The 15,337-nt window shown below is 36.3% G+C and overlaps 1 pseudogene, besides 1 other annotated feature; it reads left to right on the top strand.

Moving 5' to 3' along the window:
* Positions 7,905-9,104: an enhancer, noted in NCBI's record as "BRD4-independent group 4 enhancer chr13:75709394-75710593 (GRCh37/hg19 assembly coordinates)". NCBI's record gives its function as "activates an origin of replication core promoter dependent on BRD2, P300/CBP, MED14 and CDK7 cofactors, and independent of BRD4, by STARR-seq in HCT116 cells {active_cell/tissue: HCT116}" and the evidence as "EXISTENCE:reporter gene assay evidence [ECO:0000049][PMID:35650434]".
* On the top strand, positions 8,826-9,585 carry SSR1P2 (signal sequence receptor subunit 1 pseudogene 2; annotated as a pseudogene).

Raw genomic sequence — 15,337 nt, forward strand, 5'->3', positions numbered from 1 at the left:
AGTGGGATCTTGGTTCACCGCAACTTGCGCCTCCTGGGTTCAAGTGATTCTCCAACCTCAGGATCCCAAGTAGTAAGTGGTATTTTAATCAAACGACTCTCTTTGGAATGTAACCAACAGCTTGTAGAAACATAGTGGAATACTTCCTACTATGTGAACCCTTGGAATGTCTTACCAAGCAAAATGGCTGCAGTTTTCTATTAGTGGAGAAGTTTTTCCTGAATGGAAATGCATAATTTGGATTTAATAAGACTTTCCAATATAAGCTGTACATACAAATGCGTATTTTCTCCTTTCTTTGTGTTAACAGCATGAGATAAGCTGTAGACCAATTTTATGTAGCATTTTATATGCAAATAAGAAGTTATTTTTGCATGTTTTCATTTTTATAGGAGACAGGCAAGAGAATTTCAAATAATGCAGTTTTCCATTCTAGTCAGATAATTGACTTTTCTATTTAGTTAATTCTGCTTTCTATGTGCATGTTTATCTCAACAGCTGATGAAAAATATTCAAACATTAAAAGTTTGAGATGTCAATACAATTTTATAAATAATTTTATTATTTCAAAGTGAACTGTGCTCATTTTGGCTTTTTTGAGTATGAGTTGAAATGGCCATTTGAAACTATTTCTCCATTCAGCAGCAAGAAGCATCTTCTAAATGGATAAATTCCCAGATTCACAGGCTCTCCACATGGACAGATATGAAAATGCTCCTATGATAATGGTAAGTCAATTCCATGATGGAATCCACATCTGTCTTCATAGGATGGGGGTGAAATATTCACTTATCAGCTGGCATTAATGGCCACTAAAGGAGTTAAGAGGGTTCCGACATGAACAGACTTCAGATCCCAGAACTAGAGCTTTGTTTTTGGCAAGATGGACAGATTTGGAAGGACCCATAGTTCTGACAGAGCTAATACAGGGAGCATGCTGTTGATCCCACAATACTCCAGCAGAGACAAAATCTGCCTTGGCCACTGGCACATTGAAGAGCCAGCAACCATTAGGCAGACGCTCAAGTAAGCAGGTGGTTTTTGTCAGTGGAGGGCCTACAAGTGGACAAACCAGAGCATGGGGAGGAGGAAAAGGCAATAGGTACACAATAGGTAAAGGTTTGGCCAGGCAGTCTATATGGGTGTAGTATGGCAGCAGGATACAGAAACAAGTTCAGCAGGACATCTGTCCTGAGAAGGTTGAGCAGAAGGCAATACCCAAAATCAAGAAGAAACAAAGCTCAGCACAAGGCTTGTTCACCAAGATTGAGCAAAATCTACTTATTAGTACTTCAGTAAAAGGCCAGAGCAGAACCACCAGCAATTTGTATTATATGCTACTCATTCAATGCTCTTCAAAACCCCTTGAAGAGTACCAGGTCTAAGGGAGGGGAGGTGGCAGGAGGATTGTTGGAAGACTCCACCTGTGAATTCTGGGAGTGTTATAACCAGAAGCAATATAAGATGTGTAAAGGGAGGGAGTATGAAGGATTGAAAAAGAACAGTCCTGATTAGGCTCAGTTTTTTCACTTCGAAAGTAGAAACTAATATAAGCTGCTAGGGTTGTTGAAAAGGCTGAACATAAAGTGGATAGCACATAGAACTCCAAGGATGTGAATGAACTAGCCTCTTCAGCTACTTACAAAATGGTACAATGACCAAGCATATTCTCTAAACTAGGGAGCTTTCAACAGGTTATGAATACTGGCAATAATAATTGCTAACATTCACTGTAGACTTATGGATCAATCACTGTCTTAAGTTCATTACATATATTATCCCATTGGATCTTCTCATCCTACAAGATTGAGATTAATTTCATTTTACAGATAAGGAAACCAAAGAACAGAGAAGTTAAGTGACTTGCCCAAGATTACACATTAGTTAGTGGCAGTGCCAGAATTTGAACATAGATTCCAGAGCCCACACTGATAGTCTAGTTACACATAATATCATACTTCCTCTATGCGATAAAAAAAAAATTAGAGAAAGACATGGAAGAGCAAGAATTGATTCATTCAATACCTACTTAGAACCTCAGTGGTAGACCACAATGAGACAGATACAGAACCTAGTAAAAGTGTAGCAGCACACTTTTTTATGTAATTGTCTTTGGTAGTCATTCCTCTGACTATGCTCCTGGCATAAAGCTCTATCAGCATAGCCATGGCAGGAGCAGGGAGTTTATGGCCAGAAGCTTTATTGCCCAGTGTGAGTAATGGTGGTTCATGGCCAGCATCATTTCTGGGTTGAAGTACTCCGTGGTGCACAGATACAAGCAGCAGCTGCATCATTTTCCCCTTGATCTAGAAATTGCTAGGTGGCAGAATTCCACATACTAGATTGTCATATAACCTATCCACACAAACTTTAAATATCAACTTACGTCCCCAGAAATCTGAAAGATTTAATGTTGTTTCCAAAGGTATTTACAGTACATCAAAGACTTTTGATGACAGTTCATCCAAAATAAAAAAAAAAATAGGAGAAAAAAAGCAGCAGCCTGACACCTATGATATATCTGCCATGTCTTTAATACATTGTTATGCAATTATTTATTGTTTTACATAAGTAATTCATGCTTGTTTTAGATGTAACATTTTAAAGTTACCTAAAATACAACCAACCAGAGATGATCATTACAAATACTTTGTTGTTTAGCCTTCCAAAATGTTGTCCTAGTCATTAAATTTTAGTAAAAATAGAAATATATTTATCATATTGTACAGTCTACTGTGTAACTGCCTTTCTCATTTATCAATATTAATATCTTTTCATGTCCCATATAGAATTATATTTTTTCATGACTACATGTTTTTATTTTATTTAATGAATGTCAATTATTTATCAGTCCCCTACTATTGGGAATCTAGGTTATTTTCCTTATTTATTTACAGGCATGTCATACATCAGCATATTAACCTGTATTTTTTACACTGAAATATTTCTATGCAGTTTTTAGTTGGCCTTTTAACATTGTGGCTTTGCATTCAGAAGTTTGTTTTTAATTTTCATACCGTAGAATTGCATGAACATTTCAAATGTGAATTCTGCCTTTGGGGCCATGCTGAGGAAGCTTTTCAAAAATACCCTTCACCCCAGAATTATAGAAATATTTGTGGGCATTTTCCTCCAAAATTTTTATGGCTTCATTTTTTTTCACTTAACATCTTTGTGAAAGAGGAGACTAATATGATCTTGGCAAATCACATATCAAAAACTGCCAGATAGCTTGTTTTCTAAAAGAATACTCAGATGAGTGTGCTTTGCAGAAGAAAACGGCCTTTGTACACTAAAAAATTTCAAAGTAGACCACAATGGAGTTTCCTGTGTAAGATGAAGCGTTTGGATTACATTTCTCTAGAGGTTGATGAAGCTGTACTACGTATAGATGTGGAAATATTATCTCTGATGTTGAAGTCCAGGCTGGACTACCTGAGACCAGCAGAGCACATTCATTCCCTGTTCCAGTTCTAAGGACTGGCTTCAAGTTATCCATTCTCTTTCCTGTGCCCAGGGTGTCTCAGACAACACTGCATCTTCCCATTAGCTTATTCTAATTCTGAATTGACCATCTCCATAGTTTCATGTGTTTCTTCAGAGGATGTAAAGGATATTTTTACATCGGAGAGTATACTGGTCAATAAGAGAAAATAAATGTCATGGCTGCTACTCTTAATAATAGTACTACATTTTCCAAACCATGTAATCTGACTACAGAGATCTTTTAAAGTAGCAGCTAAGAAATCTGACATGTAAGGTGCAAATTGCAAAGCCTTGACATGATTCTACATGCCTTTTCTTTAGCTGATTTCGTTTCTAAAGCTATTTTTGAGGGCCTACAATACCTCCATGATGAAACATTAATAACTTTAAAATCTATGCATTATTCCATGCCCACATTTAAGATATCAGTGATATCACCAACTTCCCAGTTTAAGCTGTTTTTCCCCTTAGAAGAATCTGTTAATTACAGTAGTTAACAACTACTCAGTTAGCAAAGAGGCCTAAGACAAGGCAAGGGACAAGTTAATGGTGTAACAAATCAGTTGTTAAGCTAAATGGTCAGTTTGCACAGCACAGTATTATTGCTTTATTGAACCCAACTCAAAGATTTACAGCAGTTACATCTTATTCCAGGTACAAGATGCACAAATGAAATACAGAGGGATGCAGTTTTGTTTTATACTGCTTTCATTAAGAACCCAATTGCACGGCAAAATCAGTTAGTATATATCTCGTTCCATGTGACAGCCAATTTTCCACGGAGATTGGAAACTCTTGGAGCCTTCTAATCCTTGATCTCACTTCGGGAATACAAGAGCTGGGAGTTATAGCATGTTTTTAAATTGTTTAAAGTAAAGCTTTGCTGTTAACAAGCACTCATCCCTGGCTCCTGGACAATGGAACTTCTGTGGATGGATGGTGCATTGCCTTGACTCCAGATCTGCTTTGATGATGAAATACATCTGAGACATACTTATTGGTCCAACATAGTAAGTTATTTTTTCCCAAGGAATTTCTTTTCAGAAAACAACATGTAGTGCTATAAATATATTTGTCACCAAAATAACCTGTGACATTATTTATTTGACCACCTAAGTAGCAAAGTTGATTTCATCATGATTCATTTAATCTTTTTTTTTTTTTTTTTTGGTCATATTTGTACCACACGTCAAGCACTTTCTAACTTTCATCTAGGGATGCAGTAGGTAACAGTCCTCATGGGGTTTACATTCTTGTGGAAAAGATAGATTTTAAAAACAAATAAATGCATGATATGGGATAATTTTGCAGGTAATAAGTGCTATAAAGAAATAAAATATATTGAAGAGAATGGTTAGGTGGAAATCGATTGCTAATGTAAGTAGCAGAAACTTTATTATTTGGAGGACTGTAGAAAATTTATCAATCAAGGGCCCCATAAGTAGAAAGAAAGATAAATAAGTATTTCACTGAAAACATGTACCTCTTTCACGTACTTTCAAATCCTGTCCACTGCTTTTGAGTTTCTCTTAGAAAACCTTTCAGTTCAGAACAGAAGAATATAGCAACGATTGAAGTTTAGAGTTTAGGGATAGTGTGTGCTCAAGATACCTGTTCAGTACCCAGCACTGTGTACAAAATATTTTTTATGGTGGTAACAACGATGAGAAAGGTCAGAATAGCTAGGGCTTGGAAATAATTGCTTGGTTCAGATCTATAAAAGCTATTAAATCAATCCTACAGAGGATAACACATTTTGTTATGCTATAAGAGGATAAATGTAGAAGTTTGCCAGCTTACAGACTAATTCTGGACCTCAACTTAGTATCACTTAATATACTTATGTTCTACAATTGCAAAACCATAAACTGACTTTCAATTTCTTTAGTAGGACTAAAATACCACAAGATAAACTGTTAGATGTTGTGTGCAAGTATATGTGTGACTGTGTGTAAGTGTTTGTGTGTGTGTAATGTATTCTGACAATCCTACATTTCCAGACTGGTTACTTATAAGACAACAACAAAGAAGAAAATATGTTCAGAAAGTCTGTGTTAAAAAATACACATACTATTTGAAACATTTTAAAAATGAGTTCTTTCAGTATTGAACTATTTCATTTTCACATCATGGTTGGCAAGGTAAACGCTTGCTTTGACAACATGAAGACTATTTATATAAGACTTGTGAGATCATGTGTAGCTCAGATCATATGGTATATTTGCATAAATGTAAATGACAGCCTTTAAGAATCCTTTTGTCTCTTGCTCCAGTGGTACTTTTCCCAAATGCAGGCTGATAATGTTTCTACACTAATTAATCTATTTATAAAATCAGGCACAACAAAACAAAACCCATTGTCCTTGCCCTCATGGAACTCACTGAAACTTAAATGAGAACTTCCAGCCATAATCTTCCTGGCCTTGGCAGAGCAAAGGAGGTGTACCTGTGAGGGTACCAACAGGACACAAGTGCCGTGATCTAAAAGGTAACTCAACAGAGTGTGATGAATGGGACATCTCACAAAGGTGGGAGCAGATTAAGGGAGACCAATTGAGGGGCCAAGAAGCAATCTGGATTTCACAGCAGTGGAACAATTTACACTAGGCTTGCTAAAAAAAAATCTGACCACAAACTCGGTGGCTTAAAACAACAGAAAGTTTTTCTCTTATTTTCTGAATACCAGAAGTCTAAAGTGATGCTTACAAAGCTAAAATCAAGTTGTTGGCAGGGCTGCTTTCCCTACAAAGGCTCTAGAGATAATCCATTTCCTTGGCTTTTCCAGCATCTAGAACTGGAATTCCTAGGCTCAGGTCTCTCCCTCTATCTTCAAAGCTAGCAGTGTACAACTTCTCTCTCTGACCCTGCTCCTTTCACATGGCTTTTTTCTCTTCCTTGTGTAGTCAAATGCCCCACTATCTCTCTCTTTTACAGATAAGATTCTTGTAATCACATTCAGGACTCAGCTAAATAATCCAAAGTAAACTGTCCATCTCAGGACCCTTAACTTAATCACATCTGCAAAGACCTTTTTTCCATATAAGATAATATTGATGGGTTTCAGGAATTAGGATATAGACATCATTGGGGGCCATTATTCAGCCTATGACAAGGAGGGAGCTAGAACTCTTGCTGGAGCCTGGGAGACCTGTAGCAGCAGCTGCTGTACAGGAGATGTGGTCTGTAGTAGTGGAATGCAGCTACCATCAAGAGATGCCCAAACAAAAAGAGAGTCTGGGAAAGAAGTACCCAAACCTCACTCCAATTTCTGTCAATGCCTCCCATTGCCCAAACCCAAAGTGGGCAAGGATGACCAGACAATGACGTTCATAAATGTCAGCCTGCAAGAGCACAGAGGAGGACAGAGAAGGCTAAAGAGTGAATCTCAAGAATCAATGGAGAATATCCAGCAAAGATGTGTACCAGGGGAAGCTGACAATAGTTCTGAGGCTATTTGCAGGAATGAGAACTCCAGCAAGAGGCCAGGGAGATGTAGACCAGATTACAATCTCTATAAAGTCCCAACCAAACAGCCTGAATTCAGGGAAGTGAGGTTCCCATTCAGATCCCATTATAAGGACCCATCCTGGAGACTAAGAAATTATTTCAGAGGTAAGGAAATAATTCACTGCATACCCAAGGGAACTCAACAAGGATTAAATTTTGTAGGGCTCATCCCAAGGTTTTGGAAACTTAGGTTTTACAACTATGCAATGTGCTTAGGACTTGATATGTTTTGGATTTTAATTTTTTTTTTTTTTTGGATTTGGGAAAGTTTGCCAATACTTATCAATTGGGCACCCCAATCCAAAATCTGAAATCCTCCAATGAGCATTTCCTGTGAGTGTCACATTGCTGCTCAAAGCATTTTGAATTTTGGACCATTTGGGATTTTGGATTTTTGGATTATACTCAACCTGTAGTTGTTTTCAGTTCACAAAGGAAAGAATGTTTTTGTGTTAATTTGGTGGGAAGGACTCAGTCCCTGTCTCCTTGGTTTGTATTAATATTGTCATAAAAGGCAAAATAGCACTGACAGTTTTTTCTTTTCTGTGGAGATATGTAAGCTGAAATTGAGGAGAATGGACCTAAGGAAAGCAAAGCTTGATTCCACTGACTTTAAGCCAAGGAATCAACTTGCCTACATCAAGAGCTGAATTAGTGTCATCTCCTCTGTGGAGAATTCAATCTGTGCTCCCAAAAGCTGTAAAACTCAAGATTATTGACTTTGGTGGTTTGTTTTTCACTGACCGCAATATAAAGACCTGGACTAAGAGTATCAATCCCTTGAGCAAAGCCCAAGGAATAAAAATGCTATGATAAAATGCACATAATATATTATTAATATTTAGCAGAATATCACAAAAATTTATTACAGATAATAGGAATTTCAGAGACTGCCTTACCTCAACTCTGAGTGGAGAATTACAATTTAAAATTCTACCAGAACAAAATGGATATAACATTTGCCCATTATGTAATAAAGAATGTGCTCTTTATTCAGTAGAGTTTCAAATGATCTTTATCTTGATTTTTATGTTTTCCAAGTTGATTCATAGTTTAAATTCTTACACAGAGAATCATAACCACAGTGGGGCCCTTCTGACCAGAGCCTAGATAAAAAGAAACATCACTGTTATAGGACCAATAGATTCATATGCCTGCTGTGCAGTAACAGATCAATTACACTGAGACAGCAGGAACGCAGCAGAGAAAGAGTTTAATGATTGCGGGGTGCCAAGCAAGAAGATGTGAAAAGACCTTCAAATCCATCTTCCTGAGAAGTTCTGGGCTGGGGTTTTTTTAAGGATCATGGAGAGCGAGGAGCTGGAGAATTGAGGTTGTTGATTGGTTGGGGTAAGGGGGATGAAATCATCAGGACGTGGAAACTGCATTCTTTGATGAGTCAGCTTCTTGTGGAGTTCCTCAGACAGCTGGCATCAATGGAATCCCTCAGACCAGCTGACGTCAGTCGTTTCACTGGTATGCAGGATATAAAATAATATCTCAAAGGAAAAATTCACCATTTCATAATGTTCAAATTGTTATCTATAGAGCAGTCAAAGGAAACTATAATCTTGTAACATGGTCTACATTATTCTACAACAATAGGCACCACACAACTATGAGGAAGAAAGTCAGAGAGCACACTGATTTCATGATTAATGTCAATCATGCTGCAAGCTTGGTTTATTTTCATTTCTCCCCCTCACTTCTTCTCTGATTAATTTTATAAAGTGTATAGGGGCAGTTTCACCACTGCCACTGCCAGAGCCCCAGGAGAACGCAAGGCATTGAACTGGGCATTCAACTGTCCACACAAAGCTCCTCCTCTCTTTCTCCAGGTATTTCTTATATTGCCTGCCACCCTCTTGTTCAGATGAGAGGACCTAGAACCTGATTACCAATGGCTCAAGATCTTAGAGCAGATGAAGAACCACTAAAGATTTGAAATAAAAAATGAGGAAGCTGAGGTGGAAAATATGACACTACAGACTTCTGGTGAGCCTGAAGCCTCACCAAGTGCAGATAGAACTACCCTATTTATAAAAGGAGATGAATCAAGCAGCAATGCGAGGTTTCTAATAGACTTTACAAACAAGAGTACAGAAGATTTTGTTAAATCCCTAGATGTCTCACTCCATCACCCTCAGAATTTCCAGTTTTATATCCAGAGTAACATAGCCCTTGTTCTAAAAACTGTAGTGCCAACCCAGAGCCAGGCAACCCTGGAGCCCTTTTTATTTCTCCCTGAGACCCACGGGTGAATGACCCTTTAAGCATGAATCTGAATTCAAAGATTTCAATGGCAATGTATTCAATATGCTATCTTTGATCAGATATTTACAACTGATGAGAGAAAAAAATGATCTTTATGTACATATTTCTTGCTAGTCTTGGGATACTGGCTGTCACTGGATTTCATCTGATCTTAGAATCTAGAAAACAAAAGAGACCCATACAGAAAATAGAAATGGATGCATCAAACCAGAATGATACTAACATGAGTTGATTCCTCACAAAACTTTGAATCAGATTGATAACATTTTACTCATAAGTTTTTCCAGAAAAGAGGCACAGAAGAGATCAATGGCATCTGGTAGGCAAATGCTTCTTTGGACAATTCGACCTTGATTTAACTGCCCCCCAAATTTTTGTTTTTAGAGAAATTAGCACAGAGCGGCCATATCACCATAAAAGACTGCAATTGATGTGTGTTCTGAGAAACCAGAGTCAATGGAAACAATATTGCTAAAAATGCGTCCCATTCATGTCTCTATAGTCACAAATTTACCTTTCTAAAACTATTATAATTGACATGTGTGTATGTGTAATGTACATAAGCAGTTGGTCTCATCAAAATCATTGTTGTTCCAATGATTCTGATACAACTTGAAGTATGTCTTAGGGATACTAAATACAGTGCCTGGTGTCTCGTCCTTACTGACAATTTCTGGTATTGTCTCTCCCAAAATACACTATATATTTGCCCAACATGATGGTAGATTTCATGCCTAGAACTGCATGAAAGATAACAATTTACCTCTTCCTATGAATAGCTTCAAATCCATGTAAAGGGCACAGATTAGCCTTTTGTGTAGAGTGGTAGTTGTTGTTTTACAACTAGTATTCCAAAGGCACAAGCATGGATGGCTGATTTTTAGCAACAGAAATTGTTATTGTCTTTTTCTTTTGCTCTTTATTCCCATTGAAAGATCTTCCCAAGGGTTCAAGAAATTTTGGGACCTTTCTAGCAAAAAAATTCTGAAGAATAAACATTTCTTTTGACTTTACTACATAAATCTGGTATTTATTTTGTGAAAAAAAAAAAAGAAAAGAATGCCAAAAGAAACACACTGGAGACCAATTTGGGGTTAAGTGGAAAACATTGACTTAAGTAAGAATAATTTATAAAATGTTCACAATTAAATAAACACCAATTAATAGACATATTTAAGTTTCAGAAAATATATGTTAGGTTTCATAAAATTTTAAATACATAAATTATATATTATAGCACTTATTATATAAAAAATAATCAGGTGATTTCCCTTTGGGAAAAAAATGCCTCAGGGACACACACCTAAATCAAAAGCTATCCTTTCCCTTACCCACCTCCCACAAGTAGGACACCGGAGCCCTGACAGACAGCAAGTGCCTCCACAAGAAGTCATCTTGAAGACTTTTGGCCCTGGCAATCTGAGTTCATGTACTTAACTCCATTCCTGCCACATATTCCCACTCAAACAGCTAAAAATAATACAGAAATAAGCAATCATCACTGGAAGTTAAGCAAGAGTGCCATCCACATGCCAGCAGCTTTAAGGAATTTTCATAAAGAATAACACAAATTAAACTATACTGCAGCAAAGAACTACCAAACAACAACCACTAAAGATGATGAAAAAGCCCTGTGCAGGGAGTAAAGGAAAAAATCTCCCAACATGACTTAATTAGCCTCCTTCACCACCCCCACAGATCAAAACAGAAACGGAAAAGTGTTATCAGCTTATAGAAGGCAGTTCTAATTGTCACAGTAAAGCCTCAGGAAGTGGCCAGTTTCCAGAATCCACACAGATTTAGCTGAAGCGTCCCTGACTTTCACCTGGCATCAGCAAAATGGTAAATGGAGAAAGCAGGGAATGTTAACTGTTCCTAACATGGGTGCATTTAGAAGTGGTAGAAGTAAGGACTCTCAGCCAGTGAGAATCACAGAGGAGTTTTGCCATTGTGTTTCTGCCATCACAGACAATCTAATTGTTCTGCCTAAATACAAAGTGATTTCATATTTATCCTTAAAGTTCCAAAATGTCAATAGGTCTTATCTAACTGAAGGTCAGCTTTCATCATTTTGCTTTATACTTAAATCTTCAACATTGTAGATTGTTTTCAAATTTCTTTGACAATTTTTACTTCATTTTCCGTTTTCTCATATTGTAACAGCCTAACACGTTCACCTTGCCCACAGCCCAAAAAAGCCACTGCACTGAGAATGGCAGGTACCGTAGCAGGGAAAGAGTTCAATGATCACAGGGCCAGCCAAGTGTGAGGACAGGAGATAATTCTCAAATCCACCTCCCCAACAGCTTGGAGGCTAGGGTTTTCAAAAATAATTTGGTGGATTGGGGGCTAGGGAATGGGTGCTGCTGATTGGTTGGGGATGAAATCATAGGAGTGTTGGAATTCTCTCTGTGCTGAGTCCGTTTCTGGGTGGAGGTCATAGAATCGACTAATTGAGTTACAGATCTGAATGGGTCCAGGTAGCATCAGTCAGTTCTCCAGAATGCAGAAGTCTGACAAATATCTCAAAAACCAATCTTAGGTTTTACAATAATGATTTTTTCCATGGAAGCAACTGGGGAAGCTGCAAATTTTGTGGCCTGTGGCTACTTGACTCCTGAGCAATAAGCAAGCTAGGGAACAATGGCAGAATATCACTTAACTATGCATAGTTCTTAGCAGAATTGAGGCACCTCCCATAATTCTAACCTTGTGGCCTTTCATTAATTTTACAGAGATAGTTTGTGTCCCCAAACAAGGAGAAGGCTTTTTTTCAGGAAGGCACTATTATCATCCTTGCTTTAAAGTTAAACTATAAACTAAATTCCTCCCATAGTTAGCTTGGCTGATGCCCAGGACAGTTAGCTTGTGTGTTTAGAAGCAAGATAAAATCAGCTTGTGTTAGATTTCTCCCTCTGTGGTAATATTGCAAAGGCAGTTTCAACATTATATGCTTATTGGATCTCTTGTTATATACATATTAGATGTCTCTGTCTCTATGTCCATGTCTCTTTTCCTGAAATTCCATATACTATTCCTGTAGAATATGTAGAAAATTTTGAGTTTGGCTTAAAGCAATTTAGTTTTAATGGAATGCAATCTACAGTTCACTCTTGCCTTTTTAAATAGACAAACACACTAAGAAATCTTTCCTGTTCTTACATTACTCCCTTTCTACATCACCCCAGTTGTTTTAGGAAAGCAACATCCTCCTGAATGTCACTGAAAAAAATAAAGTATTGTAAACGGTTTCCTAAACTTTTAAAAAATAAACAATCATTTATCTGAATTTTACCAGATAGACTCCCATGTTTTAAATGATAAAATCTTCATTTTGCCTGTTGATTTTCTTCTGTTTGATCATTCTTACCAGCAGGAACCTATATGAAAACTGGAAATAAGATTTACTAACTTTTGCTTTCCATAATACAGATTCATTAGTCTGCTCTTTTTAAAGAACAGAATAAAAATAAGTAAACAAAATATTTACCTCAAAAACTTAGAAAAGAATAAACTTAAGAAAACTAGAATGTTATTAATAAAAATAAAAACTCAACTAAATTAATTAGAAAATAGGAATTCAGTAAAATCAATTAATCAAAGAGTATTACTTTGAAGCAAACACACAAAAATAGATACAACCTTGGTAAGGCTAACTGAGAAAAAGTGGGAAAACAAAATTATATAGCCAAAATTATATTTTATTTTTGTAATATGATTATTTAACTTTTCTCAATATCTTTGAAAATAAAAAACCTTCTAGGAATACATAAAGCACCAAAACTGATTAATTGAACAGGTGGTAATTCAGAATAGTCTAGTAACTACAGAAGACATTTAAAGTGTTTTCAAAGAAATATAATCACCCCCACTTCTGTGCATCTAACCTGGATATTTTAATGGTTTAATGATTTCATCATTCGTGTGGTATTTAAACTATTCTAAAGCATAGAAAAAAAAACAAAATAAGAAAGTTCATTCTAGTTATTTTTTAAATTTAACTAGCTAAATCTGCTACCAAGTACAGGCTACCAAAATCCAACAAACCAACCATAAAACAGAGAAAACCTATTTATGGATACATATTAAATATTGCCAATAAAATATGAGCAAATAAAGTCAAGTAAGGTAGTTATATTGATGGATAGTTTTATTGTTAGGAGAAAAAGTATACATTCTTGTAAAAACCATACAACTCAGGAAAAAATCACTTGAATTTTTATTACTGTAATATAGCCACAACTAACATTTGGATAAACATCCTTCCATTTTCTCTCTAGATATAGCTGTATATATAGATAAACAACTTTGTATGAGGGGAATCATAATATACATACATAATATATGTAATCTGAGAGTTTTACTCAACAATATGTCATGGACATTCATCCATGTCAATAAATATAGATCTACACCATTTGTAACAGTCACATATTATCCAATTGTATGTATGTATTATAATTTACTTAACCAGTTTAATGGATGTTTGGGTTGTTTCCAATTTGGTGCTATTATGAATAGCTCTATGATACACTCCGTGGACATAAATCTCTTCCCCTTTTGTGATTATTTTCTAAAAGTAGTATTGCTGGATCATACAGCATACACATCTTATATTTCTCTATTACCAGATGGCCTTCCAGAAAAGTTATATCTATTTATAGTTCTATCAACTATGCTTGAGTATGCAATTGCCCCACACCCACATCAGCACAAAGTATTATCAATTATTTGCTGTTAGATAATCATTTGATGGGAGGGAAGGCTAGTTGTTCACTAAGTTTGTTTACTATTTTTTATGTTTATGTATTCAACAAAGAACACATCGAGTGTCTGTAGGTGCCAGTAGCTGAACTAGGCACTGAGAATTCAGTGATCAACAAGAGAGATGTGGTCGCTGTCCTCAAAAATATTTTTGAAGAGACTAGGGAAGTCACTAAATTAACACAAGAATAAATGAACAAAATAATTACATATTGAGACTAGTGATCTTCAGGAAATAAAGATGTTTTGAGAATAACAAGAGGATAAACTACTTTGAGTAGAGAAGTTAGAAATTACATCTTTGAAGAAGCGACATTTAACCTGAGATAAGAAATATGGAGTAAAATGAGTTCCAAGCAGAGGGAATAGGAAGGAAAAGATTGTGAGGCAGGAAAGACCTTGGTGTGTTCAAGGAAAGAAAGGAGGCTAAAGTAGCCAGAGTATAGCAGATGAACAGAGCTCTGAGAAGTAGGCAGGAATCAGATCTTACTTGGCCTTGAAGACCACAAGAAGAATTTTGAATTATCTTCTAAGTTCTGCACAAAGAAGCTGAAGGACTTTAAACATAATACAATTCGATTAACCCTCTAAAATCTCTGTCAACTCTGTGAGTATTTGATTGAGTAATTATTGGCTTAGAAAGCTGTGTCAGTACTGATGCTACTCACTGAAATGAAAAATTCCTGCTGAGAATAGGTTTCAGGGTAGATGAATATTTTGGACATGCAAACGTATAGATATTTATGAAACATCTAAGTAGAGATTCAATATTAACAGCTGGATAATGTAAGTCTGAGGCTCAGGTAACACAATGGATATATATTTGAGAGTCCCCAGCACATAGATGGTATTTAAATCATGGGATTGGATAGAACCACATAGGGAAAGACTATACACTGGGAAGAGATTTAAGGAATGTTTTTTAAATTAAACAAAAAAAGATGCCCATCAGAATGTAAAGGAATGGTCAAACATTTAAAAACAGCTAATAGACTAAGAATTTTTTAATTAAAAGAACTAAAGGTATGTAATATATAATCAGCATTATGAGGGATCAGTGCCCACTAGCAAATATCCAGGGCCACTTTCCACACTAAAAAAAGCACAAGTGATTGTGCTTTTTTAAAAAAGCAAAAGTGATTGTGCTTTTTTAAAAAAGCAAAAGTGATTTGCTGGTACCCAATAGCAAATATCCAGGGCCACTTTTCCATGCTAAAAAAGAGCACATGTGATTGCACTGCTCATCTTTTAGGTTTCACTAACTTAAACTTTGGATGAATTGGTACTGAATCTTCTAAGGTTGCCT

The sequence above is a fragment of the Homo sapiens genome, chromosome 13 (assembly GCF_000001405.40).
Source record: "Homo sapiens chromosome 13, GRCh38.p14 Primary Assembly".
NCBI classification, from domain to species: Eukaryota; Metazoa; Chordata; class Mammalia; order Primates; family Hominidae; genus Homo; species Homo sapiens.